The sequence below is a fragment of the Homo sapiens genome, chromosome 19, assembly GCF_000001405.40.
Source record: "Homo sapiens chromosome 19, GRCh38.p14 Primary Assembly".
NCBI classification, from domain to species: domain Eukaryota; kingdom Metazoa; phylum Chordata; class Mammalia; order Primates; family Hominidae; genus Homo; species Homo sapiens.
In genome coordinates, this window is record NC_000019.10 from 41,087,472 (window position 1) to 41,099,032 (window position 11,561).

General features: G+C 50.4%; 1 protein-coding gene across 1 annotated transcript; it reads left to right on the forward strand.

Moving 5' to 3' along the window:
• CYP2A13 (cytochrome P450 family 2 subfamily A member 13) lies at positions 980 to 8,724 on the forward strand. Its single transcript, NM_000766.5, has 9 exons — positions 980 to 1,180; positions 1,458 to 1,620; positions 2,576 to 2,725; positions 2,933 to 3,093; positions 4,261 to 4,437; positions 6,159 to 6,300; positions 6,774 to 6,961; positions 7,488 to 7,629; positions 8,289 to 8,724. The coding sequence occupies exons 1-9, from the start codon at positions 1,001 to 1,003 to the stop codon at positions 8,468 to 8,470; spliced, it is 1,485 nt and encodes a 494-aa protein (NP_000757.2). The 5' UTR covers positions 980 to 1,000; the 3' UTR covers positions 8,471 to 8,724.

Genomic DNA, 11,561 nt, shown 5'->3' on the forward strand with positions numbered 1-11,561 from the left:
TAACAATCATAGTATTAATAGGGATGATACAATCAATCTAGTGGGTTTCCCTAAGAATCTGGGTTGGAAACCAGTGGAGTTCTTCGTAAATTACAACCCTTGGGACACTTGAGATTTTTCCAGCATTTGAGGGTTGTTATTACTATTTCTCCAGACCTAGCCAATCCCCTCTGCCAACTGGTAACATGAGGTACTCTTCTCCACGTGTGGGGAAAGTTCCTCTGAAATATGGCTCTCGTCTTCTGCCCCTTTCCCAGCCAGAGATGGGCAGCGGAGGTTCTATGGCACCCATCCTGGCCTCACTCTGAGGTTCCAATGAGGATTCTGGGCATCAAGAGACAGCTCTGGGTCAAAGCAAAATCAAGTCAGTCCCTGGGCCCAGTGCTGGGCTGCTGGGCTTTCTGGGAGCACCTGCTGGGCTTGCTACACACTCCACCTCCCAGAAACTCCACACCCACAGCCCTGGGTCTTCCTAGCCCCAAGACTTTCAAGTCCATATGCCTGGAATCCCCCGTCCTGAGACCCTTAACCCTGCATCCTCCACAACAGAAGACCCCCAGATGCACAGCCACACTTCCATCTCACCCTAGTAAAACCCAGACCTTTGGATTCCTCTCCCGTGGAATGCCCAAATCCACAACTTTGGGGTGCATTCTCACTCCCAGATCCCAAATCCAAAGTCCAGGTGCTCCCCTGTGCAAATATTCCAAACTCCTCAGTTCCACAGTTTATCTGTTGCCCGCTCCTAAATCCACAGCCCTGCAGCAACCCTCCTGAAGTACCAGATTTAGTCTGGAGTTCCCCTCCCTGTTCAGCTTCCCTGGGGTCCCTCTCCTCCTCCCTTGCTGGCTGTGTCCTAAGCTGTGTGGGATTCAGGGTTGGGGTGTAGTTGGGAGGTGAAATGAGGTGATTATATAATCAACCAAAGTCCATCCCTCTTTTTCAGGCAGTATAAAGGCAAACCACCCCAGCCATCACCATCTATCATCCCACTGCCACCATGCTGGCCTCAGGGCTGCTTCTGGTGACCTTGCTGGCCTGCCTGACTGTGATGGTCTTGATGTCAGTCTGGCGGCAGAGGAAGAGCAGGGGGAAGCTGCCTCCGGGACCCACCCCATTGCCCTTCATTGGAAACTACCTGCAGCTGAACACAGAGCAGATGTACAACTCCCTCATGAAGGTGTCCTAAGGCAGGGAGATGGGTGGCACGGGGTGGGGGCTGCCCAGTTGGCTGGGGCTTTGTGGCAGGGGATTGACCAGTGTGGACCAGAGTCTTAGGAAAGGGAGTCTTGGAGTTTCAGCATCAGGGTCCTAGCAGGAAAGACAGGATCTTGGGATGTCCAGCTCCCTGACTGTGAGAACCTGGGGGCGAAGCATCCCAGTACATGATATCTCAGTGCTGGGCCCATTCAGAGTGGGGGCTGCTCCCTCTAACCACTCCCACCTGCCTCCAACAGATCAGTGAGCGCTATGGCCCTGTGTTCACCATTCACTTGGGGCCCCGGCGGGTCGTGGTGCTGTGCGGACATGATGCCGTCAAGGAGGCTCTGGTGGACCAGGCTGAGGAGTTCAGCGGGCGAGGCGAGCAGGCCACCTTCGACTGGCTCTTCAAAGGCTATGGTGAGGGGGTGCCCAAGAGGGGGAAGGTGGCCAGGTGGATGCAATGGTCTCCGTGTCCCCAGCCTTCTCCCTGACTCTCCTGCCCACTGGAGGCTATGGCAGAGCCCCCTGTCTGGTCTTCTCTCCCCATCTCCCTTCATCGTGGCCTCTCCCTGTGCGTCCCTCACCTGTCTCCAGCGTCCCTGTCGTGATTCCTCCCTGCCTCTCTCTGCCCCGTCTCCTCCTTCTCTCTCACTGGAGTCTCCTCTTTCCCCTCTCTCTCCATCTCTGAGGACATCCTGGGTTTCTGTTTTCCAGCCCTGGTCCTCTGTCTTCATTTGTCTTTTTGTCGCTCTCGGCTTCTGTGCTTCTCCGTGTTTCTCCTCTCTCTGCTTCCCTCTCCCACTTCTTCCTCTGTCTTAGGATTTCAGGGTATTCCTACTTCCACATCTCCAGCCTCCAACTCCTGGTAATTGTCTGTCCTCCTTCCCGATCCTCTCTGTTTCTGTCTCCATATTTTTCTCTCTTCTCCAGTTCAGCTTAAGAATCTTTCACCATTTTTATTTCCTCCTCCCAGATCTCCCCATATCTCACTTCCCCTCCCTCCATCTCTCTCTTTCTCTCCCCACTTCCTTCCCTTCCTCCATGGAGTATCCCCGTATCCCTCTGTTTCTCTGCATCTGTCTGTCTGGCCTTTCTGCTTCTCTTCTGATTCTCTTATTCTTTCTACCCGGTCTCTCTCTCTCTCTCTCTCTCTCTCTCTCTCTCTCTCTCTCTCTCTCTCTCTCTCTCTCTCTCTCTCGTGCTCTCGTGTTTCTCTGACTGAGTTTGCAGCTCTCCTGGGCACTCGCGCTGAATCCATCTCTCTCCCACCCCACTCCCTCTCTGCTCCACCCTTGGGGAGCCCCTTGGAGCTGGTCCGCTCCTGCTCCCGCCGCCCCCTGACCTCTCTCCACCCCCGCGTTCACCTCCCCAGGCGTGGCGTTCAGCAACGGGGAGCGCGCCAAGCAGCTCCGGCGCTTCTCCATCGCCACCCTAAGGGGTTTTGGCGTGGGCAAGCGCGGCATCGAGGAACGCATCCAGGAGGAGGCGGGCTTCCTCATCGACGCCCTCCGGGGCACGCACGGTGAGTAGGGGACCCCGAGTGCGAGGGCGGGAACCCGCGCTTTCTGCCTGGGGATGGGGACTAGGTGGGGAAAGGGGCCCGCACTTCCAGCCCTGGAGTCTGGCGCTGGGATTCGGCTCAACAGGGCCCTGCCTCCTGGAATTCTGACTCTCCTCAGACCTCTGAGTTGACTCTCTCCCCAACCCCCTTCTCCCGCCACACCTGCAGGCGCCAATATCGATCCCACCTTCTTCCTGAGCCGCACAGTCTCCAATGTCATCAGCTCCATTGTCTTTGGGGACCGCTTTGACTATGAGGACAAAGAGTTCCTGTCACTGTTGCGCATGATGCTGGGAAGCTTCCAGTTCACGGCAACCTCCACGGGGCAGGTAACTGGCTGCAGCCCGCCAGTGACGCCCCTACCACAACCTGCCAACTGCTCCCCTACCTGGAGACAGGTGCCCCAAACTCCCACCCCCCTCCAGACAGTGTCCCCTCAAAATCAGTCCCCGATATTGGACAACTGGACGGTTGCACCAGAACCCAGGAGGGATGCCCAATACCCAGTCTCCAAGGACACCTGGATAGCTCAACAGATGATCCCCAAAACAGAGCCTGCTGGCAGGATGCATACCCTCAGCTCAGCTCTCTCACCTGGGCACATGTTCCCATCCCCAACTTACCGTAATTTGTAACAGGTGCTCCCTACCCAGTTCTTCTGAATATTTTAACACCTGGACAAGTGACTGCGTCAACCCGCCTCCTGCATACCTGAACACCTGGTGCTGCAAAATCCAGCCCATCATAATCATTTCACATCTACACAAATGTCACAGATTAGCCCACTGGAATATCTGGCCAAGGGCCCTCTACTTCACCCACTTAAATGCCTGAAAACATGGACAGGTGCCCTAACCAATACCCTAAACACATAAATATCTAGATAGATTATTCCCTGACACCCAAATAAGTGTTCCCCAACCCTTTCCAATCACACACCTTACAGAGGTGCTCCCAGTGCATCCCACTTGGATAGGTAAACACCTCAACAGGTATCCCCTCCACTTCAACATCTTCACCAGCCCCACTTTAATACCTGAACACCTGAACAAAAGCCCCCAATCCAGACCCAGTAAGTATCTGGACAGCTGTCTCCAACCAAGTCCACTTGAATGCCTAAATACCTAGACAGGTGCCACTCACCTCATACCAGCCCCACCTGAAGAGCTAAACACCTGGACAGGTGTCTTCCAACTCAACTTCACTTGAATATCTGAACACCTAGATGTGTGCTCCAATCCAGCCTCATTTGCATACCTGAAACCTGGATATATGCCTCAGTTCTTCTCACCTAAATTACTAGACCGTGGCCCTGGCACCTAATCCACGTGAAAACTTAGATATAAGTTTCCATCCAACCCCACTGAAATACCTAAACACCTGGACAGATGCCTTTAACTCCGTTCCTTCCTTGCTATGAAACAAATCCCCATTCCCATCAGCTCCTGCCCCGTGACAGCTGTCCTTCCCTTCCCATCCTCTCTCTGCAACCCCAGCTCTATGAGATGTTCTCTTCGGTGATGAAACACCTGCCAGGACCACAGCAACAGGCCTTTAAGGAGCTGCAAGGGCTGGAGGACTTCATCGCCAAGAAGGTGGAGCACAACCAGCGCACGCTGGATCCCAATTCCCCACGGGACTTCATCGACTCCTTTCTCATCCGCATGCAGGAGGTACATCCCAGCAGCCAGTGCAGGCAGGTGCAAAGCCAGGGAGAGGGAAATCAGGATGGGAGTGGGGTGGGCAGACGACACAGGCCCATTCAAATTAGCCCTCGTCATAATAATCCTTACAATTGGCCAGGCGCGGTGGCTCATGACCTGTAATCCCAGCACTTTGGGAGGCCGAGGCAGGTGGATCACCTGAGGTCAGGAGTTCGAGACCAGCCTGGCCAACATGGTGAAACCCCGTCTCTACTAAAAATACAAAAATGAGCTAGGTATGGTGGCATGCGCCTGTAATCCCAGCTACTCAGGAGGCTGAGACAGAAGAATTGTTTGAATCCGGGAGGCAGAGGTTGCAGTGAGCCGGGATCATGCCACTGCACTCCGGCCTGAGTGACAGAGCAAGACCCTGTAAAAAAAAAAAAAAAAAAAAAAAAAAAAAAATCCTGACAATCCCAACTACATCAACCACTGCTGTTCCATCTACTGAGCCCTCACCCACAAGCACGACTTATGCACGTGCATTAGAATAGCAAGCACTTCTACAGCACTACCGTGTGCCAGGCACTGCGTTAAGTGCTTTAAGATAGTCCGCCATGGAACACTTATAACAGCTCTTGAAGGAGGTTCAATCATGGCCCCAATTGTACAAATGAGGAAACTGAGGCCCAGAGAGTTTAAGTGTCTTAACTGAGGTCACACAGTGAGGAAGCCATGGTCCCCCAAGCTCAAACCCTGGTCTCTCTGAGCCTAAAGCTGGTGCTTTTAGCCACCATGCTCTCTAACCGTTCATGTCCTGGTTAGCAGACACACCTCTGTGGACAGGTGACCTGGCTTTACATTGCAGGGTCCCCGCCTACCTCTGGATGTCAGCCTCCCATGTGGGAAGGCTTTAGGGAATCCAAAGCTCAGGGAGAAAGGATCAAGGGAGGGATTCCTCCACAGTAAGTTTCAAGATTTTTAGGGAAGAAATAGGATGCTGTTGCTTAAAATTCTGTGCTTGTATCTCAGAAAAACTCTTTTTTTCTGACTCTTCATCTTGCCATCTCTGTACTACTTTCTCTTCGTCTCCCCTCATCCTTCTCTTTCCAAATATTCCTATCATTAAAAAAGTAACAGACTGGGAAACATGGCAAAACCCCGTCTGTACAAAAAAATGGCTAGGCATGGTGGTGCATGCCTGCGGTCCCAGCTACTAAGGAGGTTGAGGTGGGAGGATAGCTTGAGCCCAGGGTGGGCAGAGGTTGCAATGAGCCGATATCACAGCACTGCCCTCCAGCCTGGGTGACAGAATAAGACCGTGTCTCAAAAAAAAAAAAAGAATTAATTTTTTAACAGTTAACAAGTGAGCCTGCATAGTCATGTGCATGTGCAGTTCCAGCTACTCAGGAGGCTGAGGCCGGAGGATTCCTTGAACCCAGGAGTTGGAGTCCAGCCTGTGCAACTTAGCAAGACCAAGTCTGTATAAGAAAAAAAAAAAACCAACTGACAGCTAAGTTGACAATTAAAGGATAGATGATCAGTGAGGTAAAGAAGGTGAGAAGGAAGAGCATTTTGGGCAAAGCCAGCAGCCAGGGCAAGGGCTGGAACCTGGAGCGAGTTTGGCAAATCTAGGGTCCCTCTTTCCACCTTTGGTCTGGACCAAAGAGAGGTAGCTCCAAAGGAAAAGCCCTAGAAGGGCCCCAAGAGCATGGAGAGTGAGCTTGGTCTAAACCGCCCTCTCCCTGCAGGAGGAGAAGAACCCCAACACAGAGTTCTACTTGAAGAACCTGGTGATGACCACCCTGAACCTCTTCTTTGCGGGCACTGAGACCGTGAGCACCACCCTGCGCTACGGTTTCCTGCTGCTCATGAAGCACCCAGAGGTGGAGGGTAAGACTGGAAAGGGAGGAAAGTGAAGGGCCCCAGACCCTCAAAACTCCCCTGAGCCTGGTGCAGTGTACCCACCTATCCCAGATCCCAGGACCCTGAGACGTGCCTTGCTGTCCAGAGACAGGACAATATTCAGCTGATAGGCATCAGCTGAGTCTCATTAGCTATTAAAATATTGAAAATGTCTGCACTGATTGGTCAGTCACTCCTGTCCCAAGCCCACTGAGTGTCCGCTGCCTGCTCCTCTGGATCATCCCCTAAGTTCCTCCCTGTGCCTACCCTGTGATTCTGACACAACCTGGTTTAACAGGATCCTGCTGCAACAATGCGAATGGCTGATGTCTGTTCTGTTATGAATGGTCTACCTCCGTGTCATAGGTGGAGCTATGTCAACCACCGTGTTTTACCTATTCGGACTATCATCCCTGCTCTAAGACCCCTAGACACCTAAACACATTCCCCTCCTCCCCCAGCCAAGGTCCATGAGGAGATTGACAGAGTGATCGGCAAGAACCGGCAGCCCAAGTTTGAGGACCGGGCCAAGATGCCCTACACAGAGGCAGTGATCCACGAGATCCAAAGATTTGGAGACATGCTCCCCATGGGTTTGGCCCACAGGGTCAACAAGGACACCAAGTTTCGGGATTTCTTCCTCCCTAAGGTGCTGTCTCCCCTCCACCACCACCACTCAGACTACGGGGACTTCCAGCCTCTCTCTGTGTCCCCAGAATCCTGCCCCCATTAGTGTTCTAGACTCTGTCCCACTCCCTCAATCAGTCAAAAAAGACTTCCCCAACCACCACATCTGTTCCACCTTTCCACTTAGACAGTCCTGAGTCCTGCATCTCGCCAGACTCTTTGTGTCAGGAGAATACACCCCATGTTCCCAAACTTCCTGTCTTAAGAAACAGAAGCCCCCTTTCCATTAGGCCTTTTGCCTTAGGGACACAAATCTCAGGTCCCTCAAACACCCTGCCTAGTGGAACATGGACCCCATGTCTCCCAAACTTCCTGTTTCAGAGACATGAAACTTCTATCCCCCAAAGCTCCTCCCTCAGAGGTCCCCAACTCCTCCATGCCTGCCACTCCCCTCACCTGGGGCACCCTAGTTCCCCCTGCAGCCCCTGTGTACTTTCACCAATCCCCCCAACCTGCCTCATTACACACACCTTCCTCCTCCCTCCCAGGGCACTGAAGTGTTCCCTATGCTGGGCTCCGTGCTGAGAGACCCCAGGTTCTTCTCCAACCCCCGGGACTTCAATCCCCAGCACTTCCTGGATAAGAAGGGGCAGTTTAAGAAGAGTGATGCTTTTGTGCCCTTTTCCATCGGTAAGAGACCACTGTTTGCTGCCAGGCCACGGCTCACACCAGCAGGGGCCTCTCTCACCCACCTCCCCTCTCTGCGGTGTAGCCTGGTATTTCTCCAGCTTGGAAGTTCCTGTTAGAATCTACCATTGAGCCGCCACCAGCTGATACTCCCTTAACTGCCAAGCACCCAATACCTGCGCCCAGGTAAAAGGGAAGGAAACATCTTCCCCCATAGATTTATTTGTCTAGGGTCACACAGCAGATTCTTCAGCTCCCTGAAAAGGAGATAATGGCACAGCACAGCAGTCATATTTGCAAGTGTATCTGGGGGGTAGGGGCATCTAAACCTCCCATTGCTACACCTGGCATGGATCACCCCATCTATGATGGAGGCATGACATTATGCCTTTTTCAAAACCCATAGAACTGTATAACACAGAGTAAACCCTAATGTAAACTATGGACTTTGGTTAGTAATAATATATCAATATTGGTTCACCATTGTTATATCTCTTATAGAAGGAAACTGAAGCTCAGGGAGGATCGGAGTCTCCTCTGAAAGTCTCTCAGGCCATAATATTCCACCCCTCCTCCCTAGAGAGTGCAGCCGGGGGTCAGTAGGGGTTGAGGCTGCACTGAGAGTGGGCTTCACCTTCACCCCTCCTGCCTCTCCTCCTCAGGAAAGCGGTACTGTTTTGGAGAAGGCCTGGCCAGAATGGAGCTCTTTCTCTTCTTCACCACCATCATGCAGAACTTTCGCTTCAAGTCCCCTCAGTCGCCTAAGGATATCGACGTGTCCCCCAAACACGTGGGCTTTGCCACGATCCCACGAAACTACACCATGAGCTTCCTGCCCCGCTGAGCGAGGGCTGTGCTGGTGCAGGGCTGGTGGGCGGGGCCAGGGAAACGGCCGGGGCAGGGGCGGGGCTTGTGGGAGGGGCGGGGCTAAGAATGGGGGCAGTGGGGGAAGGAAGGGGAGAGGTGGTTAGAGGGAACAGAAGAAACAGAAGGGGCTCAGTTCACCTTGATGATGTCCTTCAGAGCTGTGATGAGAGGAAGGGAAACCTTACAGTATGCTACAAAGAGTAGTAATAATAGCAGCTCTTATTTCCTGAACAAGTACCTCCGTGTCAGCTTTGTTCAAAAAGCGTTGCACGCTCACCTCACTTAATTGCCACAAACCTCTACGAAGGGGAAAAGCGTTCATGCCCATTTTACACGTGACAAAGCTGCGGCTCAGAAAGTTGTCTCTATCTGATTTCTCACAAAACGTAAGTGCCCAGAAAATCTTTGAACACAGATCTGTGCCCATAGCCCTCTAGATAGATTCTTAAAAAGCACCCCTTCCTCACGTAAAATAGCTTAGTATAGCATCACATGGCCTGAACATCCCTGTCCTGGGGGGTTTTCCAGAGACCTGGCGGGCGGCTGTCCTGCCTTCTCTGCACACTTTCCTACTCGGCACGCTTTGAACACCAGGGTGTAATCTGAGCTCGCTACCAGGTAAGGCCACTGTGGCCCAATCAGAGTCAGTCTAGGACACAACGAGACATGAATGGACATACAGAGTCAGTCCATTGACAATTCCTTTGCAGAGCAGAAGTTTTTAATTTTAATGACATTCTGTCATTGTATCTCTTAATGAAGAAGTTGAAGGAGAGAACCACTTTAATGCCGGGAGAACTCTGGATCAGGACATACCATACGCATGTTTGTGATCATGTGCAGGCATGCATGTGAGCATATGACTGCATATTCTCCTCCGTGTATGCATGAAACACATTCCACTATGGGTTTCTGAAGGTGGGGCTCTCCTGATGGATCTGGGGTCTGTTGTAAGACCCAGCTAAGAGTTTCACAATCACCTGCCCACTCTCAAAGACGTTAGTGTGTGTCCCCCTTAGAAGCTCCCTTACAGCATTCACGAAAATTAACTCCAAGTTTATTGTAGACCTAAATGAAAAGTGAGTATAAACTTCTAGAAGATAACGTAGGAGAAAATCTAGATGACCTTAAGTTTGGTGATGGCTTATTAGATACAACACCAAAAGCACAATCCTTGAAAGAAGCAATTGATAAGTTCTGAGTCATTAAAATAAAAAATTTCTGCTCTGCAAGATAATTGTCAAGAGAATGACAATACAAGCTACAGACTGGGAGAACATATTTGCAGGGAACATACCTGATAAAGGACTTACATTCAAAATACACAAAGAACTGTTAAAACTCAACAATAGAAAACAACCCAATTAAAGAATGGGCAAAAATCTGAGCAGACACCTCACCAAATAAAATATACACACAGCAAATAAGCATAAGGAAAGATGCTCCACATCATGTCAGTAGCAATTTCAAATTTAAAAAATAATGATATACCGTTACCTACCTATTAGAATGGCTAAAATCCGAAACTGACAACACCAAATGCTGACAAGGAGGTGGCTCAACAGGAACTGTCATTCACTGATGGTGGGAATGCAAAATGGCACAGCTACTTTGGAAGACAGATTGGTGGTTTCTTGCAAAGCTAAACATATTTTCACTATGTGATACAGCAATCATGCTCTTCTGTATTAACCCAAATGAATTGAAAATGTATAGCCACACAAAAATTTCTGCACAGATATTTATAGCAGCTTTATTCATAGTTGCCAAATCTTCTAAGCAACCAAGATGTTCTTCAATAAGTGAATGGATAAATGAACTGTGGTATGTTCATACAATGAAATATGGCTGGGCGTGATGGCTCATGACTGTAATTACAGCACTATGGGAGACCAAGGTGGGCAGATCGTTTGAGGTCAGGAATTCGAGACCAGCCTGGCCAACATGGTGAAACCCCATCTCTACTAAAAATACAAAAACTAGCCGGGCATGGTGGCATGCACCTGCAGTTCCAGCTACTTGGGAGGCTGAGGTGGGAGAATTGCTTGAACCCATGAGGCAGAGGTTGCAGTGAACTGTGATGGAGCCTCTGCACTCCAGCCTAGGTGACACAGTGAGACTTTGTCTCAAAAAACAAGCAAAAAAAAAAAATTATTTGGCAATACAAAGAAATCAGGCCTCAGAAAGACATGGAAGATCTGAAATGTATGTAGCTAAGTGAAAAAAGCCAGTCTGAAAAGGCCACATCCTATATAATTCCAACTATATGACATTCTGGAAAAATGAAACTATGAAGACAGTACAAAGATAGTAGTTGCCAGGAGTTTAGGGAGGAGGAAGTATGAATAGGTGCAGCACATGTGGTTTTTAGGGCAGATAAACTATTCTGTATGATACTGAAATGCTACATGACATTATGCCTTATTCAAAACCCATAGAACTGTACAACAGAAAAAATAAACCCTAATGTAAACTACAGACTTTGGTTCATAATAATATATCAGTATTGATTAATCATTGTAACAAAGGTATCATACTTACACAAGATGTAAGGTATATAGGAACTTTCTTCCATTCCAAGATGGATGAATAGAAGCAACTCCAGTCTGCAGCTCCTAGCATGATCAACACAAAAGATGAGTGATTTCTGCAATTCCAACTGAGGTACCTAGTTCATCTCACTGGGACTGGTTGGACAGTGGGTGCAGCCCATGGAGGGTGAGCCAAAACAGGGTGGGGTATTGCCTCACCCGGGAAGTGCAAGGGGTTGGGAGATTTCCCTTTCCTAGCCAAGGGAAGCCGTGACAGAGTGTACCTGGAAAACTGGAACACTCCTGCCCAAATACTGCGCTTTTCCAATGGTCTTAGCAAATGGCATGCCAGGAGATTATATCCCATGCCTGGCTCGGCAGGTCCCATGCCCACAGAGCCATGCTCACTGCTAGTGCAGCAGTCTGAGATCAAACTGTGAGGCAGCAGCCTGGATGGGGGAGGGGTATCCACCATTGCTAAGGTGTGAGGAGGTAAACAAAGCATACAGGGAAGCTCGAACTGGGTGGAGCCCACCG